The sequence below is a fragment of the Homo sapiens genome, chromosome 20, assembly GCF_000001405.40.
Source record: "Homo sapiens chromosome 20, GRCh38.p14 Primary Assembly".
NCBI classification, from domain to species: Eukaryota; Metazoa; Chordata; class Mammalia; order Primates; family Hominidae; genus Homo; species Homo sapiens.
Genome location: NC_000020.11, coordinates 58,589,755 through 58,612,019, shown reverse-complemented (window position 1 = coordinate 58,612,019; position 22,265 = coordinate 58,589,755). Strand labels below are relative to the sequence as shown.

The window sequence follows — 22,265 nt, the reverse complement described above, 5'->3', positions numbered from 1 at the left end:
CTTGCGGGTTGTTGGAAGGCAAAAAGGAAGCTACTGCTTTACAAACACACACTTAGGTCAGAGCCTGGCCCAAGGCTGGCACAGTGACTGTTTTACCATGGGGGAACGAGGCCAGGAAGGCATGGCAGGCAGGTGGCTCCAGGTGGGACCTGAGGGAGGCCTGCAGGTTCTGGCCGGGGGCTGTTGGCAAGAGTCCTGCCCCAGGCTCCAGCTCTCTGGAAGTGAATGTGTGTTCCCTCCATGCCCTGGGAGACACCAGGCTGGGCCAGAGCCAGTCCTGGCCTCATGGACTGTCTGCAGCACAGAGCATTTCCTAGGACCTCAGGGCCAGGAGCCCAGGCCTGTACTCATCACCTCTAGAGAGGGGGAAACTGAGGCCCAGAGAAGTCGTCACCTGCCCAGTTCAAGCTCAGTGTCCCCCACTGGCTGGAGACAGCCAAGAAACCCTGTGCAGCCCCACCTCCCTCCCCTGGCACCTCCACCTGGGGGCTCAGTGGCAGGGTGCATGCCACATGGTCTCCAGGCCTGTGCCCCATCCAGCCACGTCCCAGCCAGGCAGGGTGCTGCTGTGGCCATCCTCTCTGGGGACCGGGCAGAAGGAAGTTTCCACAGAGGTGCTCTGAGCTCACAGAGCCTGAGGGCCTCCCAGGCCTTGTCTAGTCGTCAGCTCTGATTAGTGCCACCTGTCCTGTTTATCCGGATTTGCTGCCTAATCAAATCCTGAGTCCCTTAGTCACCTTGCTTACGCGTCCAGAGGCAACAGACAAATTTTAGGAAAATGCTCCTTGCAGAGAAATGTAAGTGCCAGGGCCTGAGCAGTGTTGCATTCCTGTGCCCTCTGAAACCTCCCAGGCAGAGTCCTTTCCCTGGGTCCTGGGTAGGGGTTCCAGAAACTTCCCTGAGATATTGACACAAAAGGAATCTCTGCTGTCAGTGTCTACAGCTGTAAAATGGGATGGCAACCGCAGCAAATGACGAGCGCAGCCAAGGTCTCGGTGGGCTTCATCCCCACAACAAGCAGGTACTGAGGGCTGGCGGGGCCCTGGACTGGGAAGTGGCGGGCAGGAAGCAGGCAAGACAAAGCCCCCAGCCCATGGAGCTTGTCATCTTTCACGGGGAGAAGGACAGGAAACACGCACACAGAGAATGGTTGTTCGTGATTAGAGCAACACAAAAATGAAACAGGGATATGATGACGAGAAGACCTGGGGAGGGGAGGGGAGGGCGTGTGACGTCCACTTCACCCTGGATGGTCTGGGAAGGCCTGTCAGGGGAGGGGACGGTTGACTGGGGGACTTGGAGGCTGAGAAGGCCCCAGCCACGGGGAGAGAGTTCCAGGCAGTGGAATGGCCTGTGCTAAGGTCCTGAGGCGGGACAGGCTTGCTGTGTTCTGGAGCAGTGGGTGGCCAGTGGGCTGATGAGCAGGGATGGGCGGGCAGGCTGGACCACGTGGGGCCTCGTAAGGTCTCCGTGGGATCCCAGGAGAGCGAGTCTTCACTGTGGGTCCGGACCAGGAAAGCGAGGGGCTCACCGTCTGGGAAGTCGTGTGAAGGGGATAGACTCCTCCCTCCCCACCTCAGCCAGGTCAGGCATGGAGAGGGTAAGGGGGCAGCTGGCCGCAGTGGCCCAGGCTCCCTGCATGTGGAGCTGGGTTATGCATGGAGGACACGTTGCTCTGAAGTCAGTGCTCAGATAGGGGTGTTCCATAGAGTCCTGAGCACCCTGCCACTGTGCAAAGTGCTTCACGTGCTCGGTTGGTGCTCCTGCCCTAGGCTGGCACCCGGCCCCTCCTCTGGAGCCCAGGACAGCCCTTAGTGGTTGAGGCTAGAGCCAGACCAGATGCCCAGGAGAAGCAGTTAGGGGCCAACCTTGAACCTCACCCTTCCTTACAGTTTCCCCTCAATGAGCACCATTGACCCCCAAGTTCCTTGCATGTCATAATTAACAATCTTAATCAATAATAATCATAGCTTGCATTTACTGAGTGTTTACTGTGTGCCAGGCACTGAACTACACATACCACACAAATCAACCCATCTAATCTACACAAAACTGCACGAGACAGGTGCTCTAATTAGCTCTGCTTCCAGATGAGAGAAACTGAGGCACAGAAAAGTCAAGCAACTTGCCCAATGTCACACAGCTGGCAAGTGGCAGAGCCAGGAAGGGACCTCCAACAGTATGGCTCCTAAACCCAAGCTTGCAACCAGTCCTTCCTCTGTGACACCTGCTGTGAGTAGTAATAACAGCAAAGCAGCTGAAGTTTGCTGAGCACCTGCTGTGTTCCAGGAACCATCTTTGTAAGCTTTTGCCATTCTTCACCCCTGCAAGGAGGCTTTTAAGGCATTTTTTCCTAATAGCTCTCTCCGATGACACTTTAACGCCACAGGTATACTGGGTGTCTGTTTAGGTACTGTTCAGGTATCCATGCTTTAAATGTAAAGAGTAAAATATGTTTTTCCCCCTTGGGAAGCAAATTCCGTCCTGTTGGGACTGCATGCTCTGCCCAGATGAACTCATTCATTCCTCAACAACTCCATAGGTGAGGAGGATGATGATTCCTGTTTTGTGATGAGCCTGAGGTTCAGAGAGGTCCAGGGCTTGTCCCAGGTTGCATGGCTCGGCAGTGGTGAAGCGGCCCCACCCAAGTCCACCTGTCCTGGTGGTAATGCTGAAGTCAGTCCTCCAGCCTAGGCAGGCCACAAACCTACACCAGAATCATCTGATCTGGGGCCTCTGACCTTTCTGAAACCAAATGCCTCCATGCCCATGTGTGTGCGTGCTCCTAGAAGCAGGTGATTTCGGGAGCCCCTGACCCAAAGAGCGGTCTGGAACGGCTGTGACACTCGTGCGGGCTTCGGAAAGACAGCTTGATCCCGGCTGCGGACTGAACATAGGATGTATGTATGTGCTCTATTACCTGGCTCCATGTGCCAGGTGCTGCACCAGCCCAGGAGTTCCTAATCAGGGTTTTTCAAGCATCGGGGGTCTACAGGTGGGCTCCCTGAAATGGAAGGGGCTCATTGGAGGTGGTAGGTGCTTCTGGGAGGCCCACTGTGGCCTCTGCAGTTGGAAAACACAGTCACTGCCCCCCACCACACACCCAGACCTCCCGACTGGCACTGCACAGACACCCTGGCCCCTGTCTTTTGCAGAGAGGACGTTGAGAGCACGGGGGAGAATCGGAGCCAGGTGGGACTGGTTGACTTCCCAGGCTGGGCCCACTGACCTTCCTTCTGAGAAAAACGCTTGTGGCAAGTAAATCCAGGCCTTCGCCCAGCACCCAAAATAGCTGGCATCTCTGGCCTGGGCCTCCACGTCCTGATGAACAATGGGGCATTCTGCGGCCCCAGGCCTTCCACACAGCAAGCTAGGACCTGCTGAGCCCATCCCGACAGTGACCCCGGGCCCCAGGCCCACACATGCGACCCGAATGGCAGGTGTGGGCTGCCTGGTTTCCTTCAGCTGGGGCAGGAAGTGCCAGGCAGCAGTCTCAGCCCACGAGGCAGGGCCTGGGGCAGAAGCTAGGAGGGAGTGAAGAATGAACAGACAGACAGACAGCGAATGAGGCCAGACCCTTAATGGACCCTGGCTGGGACATCCCCCAGGAAGCTTCCCTATGATGATGGGGACAGCGCTGTGTCCTAAAGCCTCCAGGTGCTGCCTCGGTGTCTCCAGGTGCTGCTGCTGTGCCAAGGGCCACATCTCCCATGGGTGGTTTGTAATGGAGCTCAGCCACCTCTCGGTCCTCACTCCCATCCTCTCAAGCCCCTGCTTTGGGGCCTGTGGACCTTTGCAGTTCCCCCAGCTCAGGGTGCAAGTTCATGCCCTAGGACCTCGGCACTCACCGCTCCCATCCCCTGAAATGATCGTCTTCTGGATATGTTTCTGCTCTGTTCCAATGTCACCTCCCCAGAGAGGCTTCCCTGGCCAGCTCTTCCCTCTCTGCCTTCGCTCTACTTTCCTGGCGTGGCACCTGTGTGGACGTGACACGATGGGGTTTGTTTACCGGGTGATCACCTCCCGTGCTCGCACAGAGTTTGGGAAGGACCGGGCTTTGCTGATTTTCTCCTTGTCTACCCAGGTGCCTGCACATAGGAGGTGCTCAGCTGGCATTTTCTGAGCCAATGGCTTAGGCTACTGGTGCAGTTTGCATGGCTGTCCCCATCATTCCACTTGAATGGTGAGCCAGTCCGTGCCCTTGCAGAGAAACTCAAAAGAAATCCAGCATGGCCTGAGTGTAGCACGCATCGGGCAAGAAGGGGGGACCCTGTGAGCCAGGGTCTGAGCCGCGCTTTTCCCTCAGGCCCTCGGAGGCCCTCAGGAGACTTTTAAGCAGTGGGTGTCTTCGCTGCAGAGTGGAGAATAACCAGAGGAACCAAGACCAGCCAGGAAGCTGTTGAGATACAACAGGCAAGAGACAAAGGTGACCTGGCCGGGGAAACAGCAGGGCCACAGTGCGACGTGGAAAGATGTGGTCCAGCGGGACCCAGGGCCTCCCTGGAGCCCTCCAGGTGCAAGTGATGATTCCTGTATTTGTTGCCGTGTGACCTTGAGTGAGATGTTCAACCTCTCTGAAACTCACAGGGACGATGACAACAATAATGCCAATGATACTACTAGGGGCCTGCCTGTGTGATCAGAGCCCTGGAAATGGTAGTTGTTATTGGCTGAACCATAGGAAACTGCTGTTTTATGTAGATCAAACAAGTCCAGTAGTGACAATTTCCTAGGGCTCAACCTAATAGTATTAACTGTTCAAGACATTTGCTATAGTTGCAAGCAAGGTAGACTTCAATACAAAAATGTCAACAGGGTACACAGAAGGACATGCAGAATCATGTATGAAAGTCATTAGCAAACTCTTAGCATGATGCAAATGTTATTTACAAAGATACATGCAGAATTCTCTTTGAAATAAAGCCCAAAGCTTGGTGCCTAAAGTCAAGAGGGGTGAGAGTTTGGCCACCCAAAGAAAGCCCTCAAAGGAGGACCACATCTTTTCAGGTGCAAAAAATAAGGTCTTACAGGTGCTCCAGAATTTATTGGTCTTTTTTGGGGGGATGGACTCACATCAACCAAAGTCACAAGAAACTGATGTATAATACACTCTATGCCTGCTTATCTGTTTGAAAGGGTAAATGTGACTCTCCATCAGATTGGAATCCTTGGTTCTGCTCCCCATGACTTGTACTTGTAGCTGTGAAGGACACCAGGGTTGTACTTGTAGTTGTGAAGGACTCTGGGGTGTCAACGGGCCTTCAAAAGGCTGAAATGAGAGCGGAATGAGAGCGGAAGTCGGAGAACTACCACCCAGGAGATGGAAACATTAAGTGACAATCTACCAGGCCCTAAAGGAGTCTGACCAAATAACTGATTCACAACAGAACCCACCAGAAATCATGGCCTGAGACTTAGCACCTCTCTTTCAGATGGTGTTGGCTAAATGCCCATAAATCCTTGTCCCCTGACCCCCTCCTCCTCTTCTGGGGTCTTCATGAACCCTTCCCTTATCCTCCTGGTAAGGACCCTCTCCCATTTGCACGGGAGCTCCCACAGCCTGTGGCAGGAGGGGTAATCGTAGACCAGGCCAGAGTGAAGGGAGGCAGGACAGAACTGAGGGCTTGGAATTCGCATGTGGTGCTCACCATGCTCCGTCTTCTGCTCCTTCCACTGTGGCTTATGTCCCCGCTTAGACGCATTTACTTGCACGTGACATGAGCACGCCAAACCTGCTGCCAGCTAGTTGAGGGTTGTCCTTTAACATCCTTGGAAGCCCTTGTTTGGCTCAAATGTGGGGTGCGGATGGGGAGATGTGGGAGGTGAAGGGTGGAGAGTGTGGGTGCCCGCTGCAGGCTTGGGATTGCGTTTTCCCTTTGGCCTTTGTTCTGCCACCCGGTGACATCCTTGTGTCCTCTGGGCCTGGGATATGAGCCTGGAAGCAGGATGTGGCAGGGAGGTGGGTGGCGGGATAGGGAACCCCCTCTCTTCCCTGCCACTGACCAGGTTTCGTCCCAGGTCTGCAGGGTGCCTTGGGTCTGGCCCACGTGCTCAGCCCATCCTGGTAAGCAGGCAGCTTTTGTCGGCAGGAGTGCTGTAATTGCCGTGTAGCCTGAGGACCCTGTGCTAGGGGCCGAGGGAAGCCAGAGTGAGCCCGGTCAGGATGAGGACTCCAAGCATAGGCAAGCAGAGAGCTCACTTAGCAAATGCAGTGTTTGCGACAGCGCCAGACACAGGGATGCTCCATGTGCCGCAGCAAGGGCTGCTGTTGTCACTGTCTTTCCGTGACATCATGATTCACAGAAGCACTGTGCTCAGCAGTCCCCAGCTGTGGCCTCCATCCAGCCTTGTGGCAGCCTGGGAAGTGCTCCTGTTTCCATCTCTCTATAAGAAACTGAAGGCCAGAGAGGCTCAAGAACTTGCTCAGATCTGAGTAGAGAAGATGGGATGTGAACCCAGGACCGCCTGACTCTGCACCCCAGGGCTTTAAACCATGTTTCTGAGCGGCCCCACCATGCTACCCACCCCGGCCCTGACAGGGAAGGCAGGGAACGTGTTGTGTTAACTGGGGAGGCGAAGGGAAGACCTGCTCCTCCATTCATCCTCAACTCCTGAGCTTGGCCCCAAGGAGACACTGCATGTGTCTCCAAGTGTGGATGAAGGACCCTGAGCATCAGGATGTCCAGGAAACGAGACAAAAATGCACATGCCCGGGCCTCACCTCGCCTCCACTGACCCTGAATCTCTGGGTAGCTGATAACTTCCCCAGGTAGGGAGTTAGCAAATGAAAACACAGGATACCCAGTTAAATTTGAATTCCGAGTGAACAATGAATAACTTTTTAGCATAAGTATGTTCCAAATATTTCCTGGGATATACTTACATTAAGGGATTACTCATTATTTACCTGCAATTAGAATTTAACTGGGTGTCCTGCATTTATCCTGGCAACTCTTTTTCCAGGTAGCACAGATGCCTGAAGAACAAGAGCTCTCCTATGGACTCATACCCTTTAGGAGCCCAAATTGAGCAGGTCCTTGTGAGTCCACTGCACGCTGACCCTATTTCAAGTTCATGGCTCCCACATTAGAAACACAGGTGAGGTCCCTCCCCTCAGGAAACTCACATTCCAGCTGCACCTCCCAGGGTCCCTGCCGGCTTTCACAGGTGGGAAGACTGAGGCCCAGACAGGGCAGGCTGGTGGAGGAGGCCCACAGGCTGGTTGGACCCCCGGGGGGAGCCCCTGCCCCAGGCAGGCCTTCCCGGTAGACCAGGGCCATCTGGGCTCAGACTCCAACACCTGGCATCAACCGAGCGAGAAGCGGCTCACCCTGCCCCACTGGGACCGCTTCCCGCCCGCGTTGGCCAGATGGATGGGCAGAGCTGGGGAGCAGGGGGGCTAGGGGCTGCACCGGAGCCAGTCCAGATACCTTTGCAGGGAATGGAGCAGCAGTCAGCTCTGTTTTCGTTCCAGCCTTGGAGAGCAGCCCTTTCTGGGCAGGGGAATACATACATACACATAACTCTCACAGCCCTGGGGCTGTTTCATTTCAAAGAAACCTAAGGTTCGGAAAGAATCTAATTAAGCGTCTCCTCTGCAGTTTTATCTTGCATGAAATATAATTGCTTGTGAAACTTGGCTCATCCCCGACCAGGAGCCAAGGGGTCAGCAGCTCTGCCGGGATTTGTGTGCGTGTGGGTGGAGGAGGCCATGGGGGTCCCGAGGGGCTTTTTGGGAGCAATGCCAGAGCTCATGAGTTGGTCCCCTCTCCTCTTCAATCCAGTAGCCACCCCACCTCATCCAAAGCCCCCTCATTGGTGCTGAGGAATTTTAGGAGTTGACTCTCTTCCCCCAGGTTCTAGAGGCGGACAGTGCAGAGTCCCAGTCCCTGGACTAATTCTATGACCCTGGCACATCACTTCATCTTTCTGGACATTTATAAAATCCATAAAAAGGAGCTGATCATTGCTTCACTGTAGGATTGTCACAGGATTACATGAAACCCAGCGCCCAGTGCTCCATGGATGCCATCCGAGCTATGGTGCTGCTCTGATCAACTTTCATTTTTGTGTTGGCCCAGTGTCATTGTCCTCACAAGAAGCCCCATGAAAGCAGGAATTTTCTTTTGTCTGCTGTGGAATCACCAGCATTTAGCATCTGGAACAGCTCAGGCTCCAGGAATGTTTTCAGCAAATGAATTCATGAGAAAATGGATGTCTTAGAGTCTGGGAGAAGCTAGAGTATAGTTTCAAGGAGCTGATGACAGCCTGGAAGGAGAAGGGAGATGAGGGACTGTGTGGTCCACAAAGTGCTTTGAAAAATATTCCTGCCTGAAGATGGGATCATCAGCCCCATTTCAAGGTAAAGAAACTGAGGCTGAGAAGGGAGAATCAAATTCACTCAGGATGCTCTTCGAAAAACACTGTTGAAAAAATGAAAATACAAACACGGTTTCCAGTTACCAAGACAGTCTTCAAATAGTCTCACATATTATTGTTCATTCATGCCCTTGTACAATGTCCTCCTAGATTGAATAGGGCTGACCTGTGTTAACCTAAACAGGTTTTTGTAGAAATGACCATGTGTGACTTCTGAGGCTAGGTCATGGCTAGGCCTGGCTTTCTCTTAGGTGCTCACTCAGGGGGAAGCCAGCAGCCATGTCGTAAGGACGCTCAAGCAGTGCTCTGGAGAGGCCTTAGGTGCTCACTCAGGGGGAAGCCAGCAGCCATGTCGTAAGGGTGCTCAAGCAGTGCTCTGGAGAGGCCCGTGTGGAAAGGAGCAGAAGCCTCCTGCCAGTGACCAGCACCACATGAATGAGCCACTTTGAAGGCAGATCCTCTGAACTTAGTCAAGCTCTCAGATGACTGCAGCCCTGGCTGGTACCTTAACTGCAAACTCATGAGAGACCCCAAGCCGGGACCACCTAGCTGAGCTGCTTCTGAACTCTTGGTCCACAGAAACTGTGTGAGATAATAAATGTATATCATTTTAATTACCTAAGTTTGGGAGCAATTTGTTATGCAGTAGCAGATACTTAATAAACAATGCACAATTGGAAAAAAATGATTGCCAGACACATACCTAACAACACATATATTCAGAATATAGGAGGAGCTCTCTCAGCACAGGAATCAGAAAAACAACTGAAGAAAATGGGCAAAAGATTGGAACCAGCATTTCACAAAAGATATATGAATCGACAATAAACACATGCTAAACATCATTACTCATTTGAGAAACTTAAATTAAAACCATACAGAGATACATCTACACACTTATTAGAATAGAAAAAATAATTTAAATCTGACAATAGCTAGTGCTGATGAGGATATAGAACAACCAGGCCTCCCATTTATTACCGGTACAAATGTAAAATGGTGCAGCTGCTTTGGAAAGCAGTTTGGCAGCTTCCTATAAAGTTAACCATATATTGATTTTATGACCTGGCCATCCCACTTACAGGTACTCACGCAAGAAAAATGAAAATTCGCGTTTACAAAAACTTGCATGTGAATGTTTGTAATGGCCTTATTTGTAGTTGTCCAGTCTGGAAACAACAAAATGTCCCTCAACAAATTGTGATATATCCTTGCAATGAACACCGCTCATTATTAAAATTACGGATACAGGCACCATGCAGATGGATATCGGGTGCATTCTGCTGAGTGAGAGAAGCCAGACTCAAAAGGCTAAGTACTGTGTGATTCCAGCTCCATATGATCCACCACATGCCAGGCTGGAAAAGGCAAAAATAGGAGGACAGAAAACAGACCAGTGGTTTCTGGGGGCCAAGGACTGAGGGATTTTAGGGGCAGCTTGACTCCAAAGAGGCAGAGGACGCTTTCCGGAGTGATGCCACTGTTCTATATCTTGACTGTGGCAGTGGTCACAAGATTGCATGTGTTTATCACAATTCCTGGAACTATGCACCTAAAAAGGGTGAACTTTAATCTAGATAAATTATACCTCCGTAAACTTGACCTTTAAAAAATCTGCCATTTGACAAGAGTGTCAAAACCATTCAATGGGGGAAAAGAATAGTCTCTTCAGCAAATGGTAATGGAACAACTGGACATCCACATGCAGAAGAATGAAGTAGAACCTCCTACCTCATGCCGTACAGGAAGTTGATTCAAAATAGATCAAAGAGCTAAATGTAGGAGCTACGACTATAAAACTCTTAGGGGAAAACATAGGAGGAATTCTTCATAACCTGGGTTTGGCAAAGGATTCTTAGATACTACATCAAAAGCATGAGCAATAAAATAAAAAATAGATAAACTGGACTTCTTCAAAACTAAAAGTTTTTGTGCTTCAAAGGACCCTATTAAGAAATTGAAAAGATGACACAGTAAATGGGAGGAACTGTTTGCAAATGATATGTCTGATAAAAGACTTGTATCCAGAACATATAAATAACTCGTACAACCCAATAATAAAAAAGGCAATCCAATTTTAAAAGGAGCAGAGGATCTGAATAGACATATCTCTAAAGAAGATCTATAAATGGCCAATAAGCATAGGAAAAGATGCTCACCATTGTTTAGGGAACTGCAAATCAAAACTACAATGAGACACCATGTCACACCCACTAGCACGGCTAGAATCTAGTCCAATGGCAACAAGCATCGGCTCTCAGAGGATACGGATAAATTAGAGCCCTCCTGCGCTGCTGGTAGGAATTGAAAATGGTGCAGCTGCTTTGGAAAACAGTCTAGCAGTTTCTCAAATGATTAAACATAGAGCTACCACATGACCTAGCAATTCCAATCTTAGGTATATACCCAAGAGAAATGAAAACATACGTTCAAGCAGAAGCTTGTACATGAGCATTTATAGCATCATTACTTATCATAGCTGAAAACAACCCAAATTTCCATCAACGGATGGATGGATAAACAAAACGTAGTATAGCAGACAATGGAATATTAATTATTCAGCCATAAAAAAGAATAATGTACTGATACCTGCTACAACATGAACTTCAAAAATACTCTGCTAAATAAAAGAAGCCAGTCACAAAAGGCAAATATTGCATGATTCCATGTATATCAAAGTCCAGAACACAGAAATCTTTAGAGGCAAAAGGTAGCTTAGTGGCTGTTTAGGGCTGGGTGTGGGGCATGAGGATAGAGCTGTGATAGTTAAATGTTACACGGTTTCCTTTTGAAGTGAAAGTCTATTAAAATTGACTGTGATGACAGGTGCATGGATCTGTAAATATATTAAAAACCATTGAATCGTATGCTTAAATGGGTAAAATGTATAATTTATGAATTATAACTCGGTGAAGCTATTTTTTTTAAAAAAGAAAGAATAAAAAAAAGACACCCAGGCCCTGTTGGGCTGAAGATTGAATCACTAAGTAAAGGCCCAGGCAAGTCTGCTGCACTGAGAGACGTCCCTAATGGGCCACGTATCTTCCTGGCTAAAAATCTGTCTTAATGGTGTTATTTTCAAGGTATTCTCTTCCTGTATTTTTCTCCTCTGTGGAACATGTGCCCCCAAAACCAGAAATTTTATTTTGGGGGGTGGACTTGGACCAGCCCTTGGTCTCTGTAACACACCTCAAGTGTGGCCTCCAAGGTACAACCTGAGAGAATCCAGGAAGACTCCGCCTCCACGCACAGCAGTGGGCTGTCCACCAGGTGCTGGCTGTGACTTCACCCTGCGGTTCTGCCAGACAGCTGTGTTAGCTGCTGTGACCCCCAGGGAGGGGGTGAGATACCAAGGCTTTGGGTGAAGAATTAGGTCATCCGATTGTTTTGTCTCCTTGGCAAAGAAGAACCAGGGACACCTGGAGATGCATGGGGCCTACCCGCTCTTTGCGGGGGAAGTTAAGTCTGATCACGACTCGGGTCCTCTGATGGTTGACTGGAAAACCAGGTGACCTAAAGCAGGGGCGCTCAAAAGGTGGTCCCCTAGCAGCAGTAGCAGCTCCTCCTGGAAACCCTTTAGCAACACATGTTCTCGGGCGTCACTCCAGACCTGCTGGGTCAGAATCTCAGTGTGGAGATCCACACGGCAGTATGTGTTCTTATTTTTATTTTTAATTTATTATTATTATTTTTTTAAAGATGGGGTCTCACTATGTTGCCCAGGCTGACCTCAAACTCCTAGGTTCAAGTGATCCTCCTGCCTCGGCCTTCCAAAGTGCTGGGGTTGGAGGTATGAGCCATCATGCCCGGCCCTAATCTGTGTTTTTAGAAGCGCTCCAGGATATTCTGATGCAAGCTGAGAACCACTGAACTAATGGACGGGTTCATTCAACAAATGCTTACTGGGTACTCCCAGGTGTAGCTTGAATTGTGGGAGGCCCAAGGGTTAAATACAGTGGAGAGGAAGTACAATGGATTGAACGGTGGCCCCCAAAAGACATGTCTCAGAAACTGGTGAATAGGACCTTACTTGGAAAAAGGGTTTTTGAGACTTGTTTAAGGAGACTGAGATGAGATCATCCTGGATTACCCACTGACAAGTGTCCTTGAAAGAGTCAGAAAAGGGGAAGACACACAGAAGGCCACGTGAAGATGAAGACAGGGATTGGAGCATTGCAGCCATAAGCTGAGACACACAGAAGGCCAGATAGATAGGCAGATAGGTAGGTAGATAGATAGACAGACGGACGGACAGACAGACAGATAGATAGGTAGATAGATAAGCAGGCAGATAGGCAGGCAGATAGATAATAGCTAGATAGATCAGATAGACAGATAGATAGATATTAATAGATAAATAGGCAGGCAGATAGACGGACAGGCAGCTAGATAGGCAGGTAGATAGATAGATAGATAGATAGATAGACATTAATAGATAAATAGGCAGGCAGATAGATAGATATTAATAGATAAATAGGCAGGCAGATAGATGGACAGGCAGCTAGATAGGCAGGTAGATAGATAGATATTAATAGATAAATAGGCAGGCAGATAGATATTAATAGATAAATAGGCAGGCAGATAGATGGACAGGCAGCTAGATAGGCAGATAGATAGATAGATAGAATGATAGAGAAGCAGGCAGATAGAAGATAGATAGATAGATGGACAGGCAAATAGATAGGCAGGCAGATAGAAAGGCAGATAGATAGATAGATGTTAATAGATAAATAGATAGGCAGGCATATAGATACACAGGCAGATAGGCAGACAGATAGATGATATATAGATAGAGGAATAGATAGATATTAATAGATAGGCAGGCATATAGATAGATAGGCAGATAGATAGGCAGACAGATGACAGATAGAGATAGACAGATAGATGATAGATAAGCAGGCAGACAGGCAGGCAGATAGATGATAGGTTGATAGAAGATAGGCAGATAGATAGATATAGAGATACATAAAGAGATGGAGAGATGGGGAAAAAAGGAAGAGAGAGAGAAAGAAAGAGAGAGATGAATAGAGAGATGGATCGCCTCTCAGGAGCTGTTGGACTGAAGGCCTCAGGGCCTCGCTGGCTGGTGGCCAGAGACAGCAGCTTCTTGCCACATGGGCCTCTCTGGCTTCATCAGAGTGAGTACATGAGAAGGGCCAGAGAAGGAGCAAAATAGAAGTCAGAGTTTGCTGCAACCTAATCTCAGGACTGGCCTCCCATCATTTTCGCCATCTCCTACTGGGGTGGGTGGAAGTCAATAGGCCCAGCCCACACTGGAGGGGCGGAGACTGCACAAGGACGTGACTTACCAGCATGGCTGGGAGCCAGTTTAGAGGCTGCCTACCATGCTGGGAGAAAACCAAAAGTTTTATTTAGGATATGATAAGTTTTCGATGCCTCTGAATAATCTATTAAGATTGCAGCATGGGTGAGGGTAGATAGGTTGTTGAATGTTGAATGAATGAATGAATGAAGGAAAGAATGGAGAGATGAGTAGGTGGGCTGATAGATCGATGGATGGATAGTCCACTGCTAAAGGCTGGTTCTGACAAAATCACTCAAAAGATCCCTGCCCTGGGTTCCCCAAGGATACGTTCTTTCCGAAGTAGAGGCGTTCATAGCATTTGCCCTGTGACAGACCCTCCTGCTTCCCTCCCCGATCCCCTTCCTGCATGGATTGAGCTCTTGGGAAGATGAGCTCAGAGGTGGTTTTCTGCCTGGACAAATGGAAACATGGGCTTCCATCCTGCGAAAGAAACATATCAGTGTGCTGGGCTCCACAGAGGGAAGCACTGGCAGCCTTAGAGAGCCGCTGATAGATCCTGGAATTCCACCCGCCAAGTCGTCAACTCCAGGCCAACGAGCTTGAATTATGACAGAGGGATTAGGAGCCGGTGGAAACTTGGAGGTCACCCATGAAGACATCTGAACATTTGTTTTGTAGCTATAGCCTCCTTTTTCAGCTGCGTGGTACACTTAATCCAACATGAAGTATTGCATATTAAATGCTCTCCCTGACTATGGATCTTCTCCTTTTCAAACGATCCTTGGCACCCAGTGGGTACTTTCTCTGATTGCTCTTGGCGTGTGTGATTGTACGTGGCTCAAGCCAAGCCTTTTGCATTTTGCACTTCGTTTTCTCTCAGGAATCTGTGCTGGGATGCTGGCTGGAATGAGAGCTGGGGAGCCTGAAGTATGCCCCGTGCCTGTCAGTTAAACAGTGAGGCAGCCCCTCTGAGACGGGTTCCCGAGTGCTGGAGAGCAGGACCGACAAGATAATTGGTGTGGGAAGGGCAAGACAGACGCTTTTCCAGATTAGTTGGGCTACCGGGGGTGAAGACGCTGAGCTTCAAAAGAAGCCTCCCAAACTTAAGGCTATTAAGTTATTATGGCTGATTACATTCAGAGGGGCCTCGGATGGCAGGCCTCTAATTGGCAGCACTCCTGTGATTCTTATGGGAACCGGGCTGGGATGGGGAAGGCTGAGATCACTGAGAAATGCAGCCCCGCCCGGCAGAGGCCAGATGAACTGGGGACATGAATTATTATTCTGACATCGTGGCAGGCCCATCTGCAATCCCTTACAGTCTTTTGTTCCCAGCGGCCCTCGGCACAGCTGACCCTGGGCTCTTCGCAGGCTGCCCCCATCCACCAGTCGGGGGAGGCCAAGACAAAGGTCAGGGGGCTGCTGAGGACCGGGAGTCTCCATCGGCCTTGCTGGCCACACACCCCCCCGCTTCCCTCCAATTCTTCCTCCATCCAGAAATGTATATTGAAGACTCAGAGGCGGTGAGGAAGCCAGCAGCTGGCGAGATGGAGAAGGGCTCCTCGTCAGAGAAAGCTGTCTGCATACCAGGCTGAGAAAACAGAGACTAGCAATGGAGCCCCGGAACTTCCCAGAGGAAGAGGCTATGGAGCGTTACTTGCATAGCAACCCTACTGTTTTCATTTCGGTTGTATGTTTATGTGGAGTGCCTTGGGGGTGTCTCATTTTATAGGTTTGGCTGCTACAACAGAGAGTCCTAAAAAAATTATGGCTGAAACAGCACAGAAATCCATTTCTCTCTCTCCCATAAAGGTCCAAGTTCACAGTCCAGAGCCGGTGGGGCAGCTCTACCGTCATCAGAGACCCGGGTCCCTTCTACCTCATTTCTCCATTTCTCATGCACACGGCTTCCAATTCAAGATACAAAATGGCTGCTCCAGTTCCGACCATTACATCTGCATTCCAGCAAGTGGGAAAGAATAAAGGGGCAAGGAATGGGCTTGCCTCTTCCCTTTCAACAGCATGATTTGGAAATGGCTCAGACCACTTCCATTCATATCACATTGGCCCAGATCTACATGTGAGCACGTCTAGCTGCAAGGCTGGTTGGGAAGTGTGCTCTTTATTTCTGGTGATCATGTGTCCAGATACATTCTATAAAATTAGAAGAAGGGAAAAAGAGCAGTCGATTCCACAGACAAATTTGATGGAAGCAGGGTGAAAACAACAGCCTCCAGCTTGAGTCTCTCTTGGGTATGTCCTTGGGCTGTAGGGGTGACACCCTTCCTTTCTGTTGGCATTCAAGGTAGTATGCAAAATCCTCCTTGTCCAGGCAGACTTCTGGGATGAATGACTCAGGTCATTGGCCAACTGGTCAACCTCATCTCTCCCTGTAACCACCCCCCCAGACCCCCTCCCTCCACAACCCTCTCTCTACCAGGTGCTTGGCTATTTTGGAGCCCAGGCATTTCTGTCGAGTCCGTACCAGCATCCGCAGCAGACTCTCTGTTTCCTGAGCCAGAGATCCCATTGACTCTTTAGTGTGTACCAAATCCACACTGCCAGCCCCATACCTACATCCCCAAGCGCTAAACACCTGGGACTGAGTGCTCTGATCATCTGTAGGAGAAAGCATACCCTACCATCTCAGTGTTCAGAGCTCTGCGAGGGCAGGGACCTCATCTTATTTACCGTTTTATTCCCAGAGCTCAGCACAGGCCTGGCAGGCACAGTCACTTAGTAAGTATTTGCTAAATGAACAAAGACCATCTTGGATAATGATAGTAATAATAATCATCATTACACCTGATGTTTACTAAGGAGTTCCGTGAGCTAAGTAAGCATTATACAATAGTCATCTAAAGTGGGAATTGGCAAACTTGTTCTTCAAAGGCCAAATAGTAAATATTTCTGGTTTTGTGGGCCAGAAGTTCTCTGTTGCAACTGTCTGTCAGTGTAACATAAAAGCCGACATAGGCAATGTGTAAATGAACGGGCATGGCTGGGTGCCAATAAAACTTTATTTACTAAAGTAGGTGCAGGCCAGATTTGGCCAGTGGGCCATAGTTTGCTAACCTCTTATCTGAAACAGAAAAGAATGTCCCAAATTGAAGGTGAAGAAAATCTAGAGGTAGCTCCAGCTAAGATGTGCATACCTGGCAGATTGGGTAGGGCACTGGGAGACTCACTTTGGGGGTTTGGGGGGTCCTGGCCTGACTCAGTCCCCCTATCTCTGAGGGCCATTTCCTCTTTCCTCTATGGAAGAGCGGTGGTACATAAAATGCTGCCCTCTGACCAAGGTAGTTTGCACCAGGGGCAGATGCCCAACCCGAGGTGGCATGTGGAGTTGGTACACAGCCCTTCCTTTTTTTTCTTTTTCTTTCTTTTTTTTTTTTTTTTTTAAGACAGAGTCTTGCTCTGTTGCCCGGGCTGGAGTGCAATGGTATCATCTAGGCTCCCTGCAACCTCCGCCTCCCAGGTTCAAGCGATTCTCCTTCCTAAGGCTCCCGAGCAGCTGGGATTGCAGGCGCGCCCACCATGCCTGGCTAATTTTCTTCTATAGTTTTAGTAGAGACGGAGTTTTGCCATGTTGTCCAGGCTGGTCTCGAACTCCTGGCCTAAAGTGATCCACCCACCTCGGCCTCCCCAAGTGCTGGGATTACAGGTGTGAGCCACCGTGTCTGGCCTGAGACACAGCCTTCTGATCCATTTCGAACTAAGGGCACAGACATGGGAGTGGGGAGGTAGAGGAGGTTGCAAAGAGGACCAGCGTGGCTGGCAAACTCCCGGAGACCCCCTGGGATTCCCGTTCTGCAGGCCGTGACATACCTGGCTGGGAGGCAGGGGGGCACAGCCACCCCCACTGCCCTGCTTTCTCCTGCTGGAGGCTCCCAGTCTTGCTTTCCATGGGCTCATTTTTCCAGAAGAGCTCAGGACTTTACCCAGCTAAATGAAGAATGTGGAATACTTGAAATTTCCACTCACACACTCCCGGAAAAAACACATTAACCTTTAAGAAGGGAATAATGGCTTCGTTTTCAAGTGACCTTATGGATTAACCCTCGACAAGCACTTTCTGGGGAAGAACGATGGCCTGTGGCATGGATCCAGTGGGTGCGAAAGCTGAAAAAATAAAAGCCGGCGGTGTCGTTTTGTTCTCCCTGAATAAAAGCAGAGAATTGCTGACTGACAACAACAATAACACCACCACTCCTCGCTCCTGCAAGACACCGAGTGTGTCTGACAAGCAGATTGCCTGCTTCAGGACAAAGTCAAGGCTGTCCTTCCCAGAACCTGCTGCCGACCAGCCTGGGGCTGAGCCAGCAGCCTGGGCATGGGCAGCACAGCCCTTTGCACTGTTCCCATCGGGCACCCCACTGCCAGGAGAAGTTTCCTTCCTCCTCACAACAACCTCCCCCAGGAAGAGTTTTCCCACCAGCCTGATCTGCCGAACCCATCCTCGAAATATGAACCCCATAGTTTATATACTGGAGAAAACGACCGAATCTACACTCCTTTGGGGAATTTGCAAAGCATGTTGGCATAGTAAAGGCTCTGAGAAGTCCTGTCAGAGGGAAACCTGTTTAACTTTGTTGAACACCATCATTTCCCAAATTATTCCACAGGAAGCACCGCCCCCCGCTCCCAGTCCCTTTTTAACATTTCTCAGATAACACCTGTGAATGTCTGGCAGAACTGCTAATCCACGGAATATGCTTTAGAAAATGCCAGCCATGGAACATAACCTCTCCAAGACCATTTGAGCTACAGAAAAGACCAGAGCTCACTCTTCATCTCCTATCCATTCATTCATTCATTTATCACACACATCTTGACTCCATCCATCCATCCATCCATCCCTTCTTCATCCATCCATCATTCATGCATCAACACAGGTTCTCAAAGCCAAGCACCGCACAGGAACAGAGGCAAACTTGAGTGCCTCTGTTTTTGCCAAGCTTCCCAGGTGGCAGGGAAGATAAGAAATGCCCCCGGGTTACAGAATATAAAAGGCGCCTACATGGCATTCCTGGATGTCAAAGGCCCAACTTCCAAAGATGTTTTTCGAAAATTATTACGGAGATGACAATTTTGAAAGACTACTAAAAAGTGTCAACATGTAGGCAGTCAAGAACAAGCTTCTCCAGTGTGAAGAAGAAGGCTGGAAGGAGGAAGAAGGCTGGAAGGGTGGAGGGGGTGGGACCTTAGCTGTCTCTTCATTCCCACACTGTGGTCCGGAGTTGGGTTTGTGCCTGGCACTGTACTAAGACCTGCACCTACCCCTGTGCCTCCTTCATTCAGCAAACATCTAGAAGGTGCTTCCCACGAGCCAGGTGCTGGGGACACCATGGTAAACATGGCCTCGCTTGCATCCAGATGACCCGGGAGACCGAATCTCCCCCAGTAACCCTCAAGGAGGGCTCACGGCTGCCAGAGTGAGGCTGAGAGGCTTGCTCCAAGCCACAAAACTAGAAGACAGAGCTGAGACTACAATGCGGGTCCCCCTGGCTCCCAAGCCTGTCCTCTGTCTGCTTAACCAGGGGGCAAAGAGACAATTGGTTTGAAGCACCACCAATCCCACTAGAAAATCAATGACATGCCCAAGAAAGAATGACGTTTGCAGTGGGCAAGCTAAATGCTGTGGTGGATGCAAAGGTGGAAAAGCAGGTACAGTGAGGGGGACAGAGAAGACTGCAGGGACAGGGGCTCATCTCCTGATGTGCCATCTTCCCTCATCTCACCCCGGGGCCCACTCATTTCATCACGGTCCACCCCTCTCAGCACACTGACTGCTAATGAGTGCCATCCAGCCAGCAGCCCCGTTTGTCCTCCTGGCTCTTCAAAGGGAAGCTTTGAGCAGCTCTAGGCAAGACCCTTGCTCTTCACTGGTTTCTCTGCCTCCTTTTTCACATAGCCGCCATGCCTTTGTCACTCTGGAAGTGCACAGGGTGGAAGGTGGTGCTGCGGGCAGTTTCTGCTGCTGTTAGCTGCTGGCTGGTGCCATGAAACCAGCAGACAGGGCTCGAATCAGGACGGTGGCTCCACCATGGCCCCAGAGATGCCAGCTCAGCCCAGGTAGCCGCAGTTTGTATCCTCACGCCTACTGCTCCTCCAGCAGCCCTGAAAGCATAGTGGAAAACGTGCCCTGTGGTGTCACAGCATAGTATTAGTTTTGCAAATGGAGTTTGTATTCGTTTCCTCTTGCTGATGTAACAAATTTCCACAAACTCAATGGGCTACAGCAGTACAAATTCCTTTTCTGACAGTTCCGGAAGTCAGAAATCGTGAACTAAGATGTCCACAAGGCCACTTTCCTTGGGGACGCTCTAGGGGAGAATCCATCTCCTTGCCGTTCCCAGCTTCCAGAGGTCCCTGCATTCCTCAGCTGCTGGCCCCTTCCTCCACCTTCAGAGTCGGCAGTGTCAACCCTGACAGAATCTACTTTTCTGATTCCGACCTCCTGCCTCCCTCACATTGTCATGGCATTGAGCCCACCAGATCATCCAAATGATCCCTGTCTCAACATTCAGATGACATCTGAGAGCCTCTTTTGCCCTGTAAGATGACACATTCACAGGCTCCAGATGTTACCTGTGGACATCACTGGGGTTCCATTACCCAGCCAACTAGAGTCTCCACTTCAGGCCTCTGGGCCTGTCTGGCATCTCTGTCTGACTCCTGTGGACACTAGCAGGGTCTGGGGGTCTGGAGGGCTGCAGGCTGACAGTGGGGTGCCTTGGAAAGTGAGAGAGGAAGTTGCACCTTGCTCTCCAGCCCCGCACAGTACATGGAGAGCCCCTCCTGGCCATGAAGCACTGAATCAGGCCACCTGGTTGTGCTGGCCTTGGTCTCAGTTTCTCATGTACAAATGAGGCTCATAATAGCACCTACCTCGAGTGGCTGTTGGGAGGATGGAATGATGCAAGCCCAGGGCATGGTAGAAGCACAATTCAAGTCGGGTGAATGAACAAGTTGTTCTATGCTAAGTGATTATTGCAGGCTGGAGCACAGCACTTCCCTTGCAAGCCTCTCTGTCCTCGTCTGTAAAATGGGTGTACTCCCTGCAGCCCCCCACTTCAGAGGGCTGCTGGAGTTCCACAACCACAGACACGCAGAGGTGTGGAAGAAAGGCCCCTTGATGAGCACGAAGTGTGAATGCTGGCTATGATAGCACAGCCGGAGAAGCCCAGCCCTTTCTTCATTTCCTGAACCACCACCAAAGCCCCTTCTTAGCCCATAATGACAACAGCCACAGCACAGCTGATGGTCGTTTTTGAGCCTTTGATAATTTGCCCTGTGCTGGGCACTTGGCTAAGCACTTTACAAAACATCTCAGTTCTCGGCCCAGCCTGGGAGGGGTGGCAGTGTCTTCCCCTTTTCCCACACGAGGGTATCAGGGGTGAAGAGACACAGCAGTGAAGTGACCCACCTGGGATTTGAGTGCAAGTTGCTTTGAGTTCCAAGCCTTTGGTTTTAATGCATGTTTAATGCTCCAGCTTAACGCGGTGACCAGCAGCTGCCTGGCACGGGTACAACTCATTCATTCATATATTCATTCACTCATTCATTCCACACATAGTTAGTGAAAGCTACTATGGAAAGCCAGGGTCTGGGTTTGCACAGTAGTCAATAACTTTTGGAGGGAATGGGGGAAGGGAGTGCAATAATTAAAACCCGCAAAGTGCCTACTAAGCTCTCAGCATCAAGATGTCAGGTGCTGTGAGCACCCTGCGTTGGGCACCGGGGTCGCTGCCCCATTTTACAGATGAAGATGTGTTCCTTCCAATAACAGTAACCACAGCAACTGAGCACACGGAGGCACTGGCAAGGGATGTGCCTTGCCCCATGGCCCACGCTGAGAGCCAGGATTTCTGCCCAGCTCTCTTTTCTTTCCACCTCCACGAAGACATCCCATGGACGCCTCGGGCACCTCTGCGGGCCATTTCTGCCCCTCTCCAGCCTCGAGCTGCATAAACACTGCCGGCTCCCAAAGACCAATCGATTCTGTCCATAGCCCTTTGCCTAGCAACCCAGGAGGAACAGATTCTCTCTTGCAGGCTGTGTTGATTCTCTGGCTGCCCAGAAACCTGCTCTCTCATTCCTCTTCTCTCTCTCTCTCTCTCTCTCTCTCTCTCTCTCTCTCTCTCTCTCTTTCTCTCTCTTGTCCCAATAGTCTCAACTGGCATCTTTTTGTAAAAAAGAAATCACCCTTTTTTCCACCAGGCTTGGACCCTTCTTGCTGTATTTCTCTTCCAGTGTTACTGTGAGACAAAGCCAGGCCTCACGTGTCTCTCCAGGGAGATACCGTCAGATTGAAGGGTTTGTCCCCAGGGCTTTGGGCAGTTTTTCATCTATTCACTCGTCCCATAGACACTTTTTGCACACTGGCTCTGTATTCAGCATCTGCTAGGCACTGGGGCTATGGTACAAACCAGGAGGACAGGATCCCCAGCTCCACAGTTTACAGCTCTGGGCAGGGAGGGCGATTTGACGCCAGTCCCCAGAGCCCCAAATGCTTTCCCTTGGCCTCAGGATGAGCACATGTAGACAAAGCGCTCAGAGCTGAGCCCTACAGTTAGCTCCACAGATGTTCTGCCATGCAGCAAGGGCCTCTGGAGTG

The 22,265-nt window shown here is 50.2% G+C and overlaps 1 long non-coding RNA gene across 1 annotated transcript in view, besides 2 other annotated features; it reads right to left on the bottom strand.

Moving 5' to 3' along the window:
* APCDD1L-DT (APCDD1L divergent transcript) overlaps positions 1 to 22,265 on the bottom strand; it is a 104,514-nt gene that overhangs the window by 7,873 nt on the left and 74,376 nt on the right. The gene's annotated exons all lie outside the window — the stretch shown is intronic.
* Positions 1,520 to 2,021: an enhancer, noted in NCBI's record as "H3K4me1 hESC enhancer chr20:57185055-57185556 (GRCh37/hg19 assembly coordinates)". NCBI's record gives its function as "activates a minimal SCP1, AML or CMV promoter by ChIP-STARR-seq in primed H9 embryonic stem cells {active_cell/tissue: H9 hESC(primed)}" and the evidence as "EXISTENCE:reporter gene assay evidence [ECO:0000049][PMID:30033119]".
* Positions 16,907 to 17,689: an enhancer, noted in NCBI's record as "H3K4me1 hESC enhancer chr20:57169387-57170169 (GRCh37/hg19 assembly coordinates)". NCBI's record gives its function as "activates a minimal SCP1, AML or CMV promoter by ChIP-STARR-seq in primed H9 embryonic stem cells {active_cell/tissue: H9 hESC(primed)}" and the evidence as "EXISTENCE:reporter gene assay evidence [ECO:0000049][PMID:30033119]".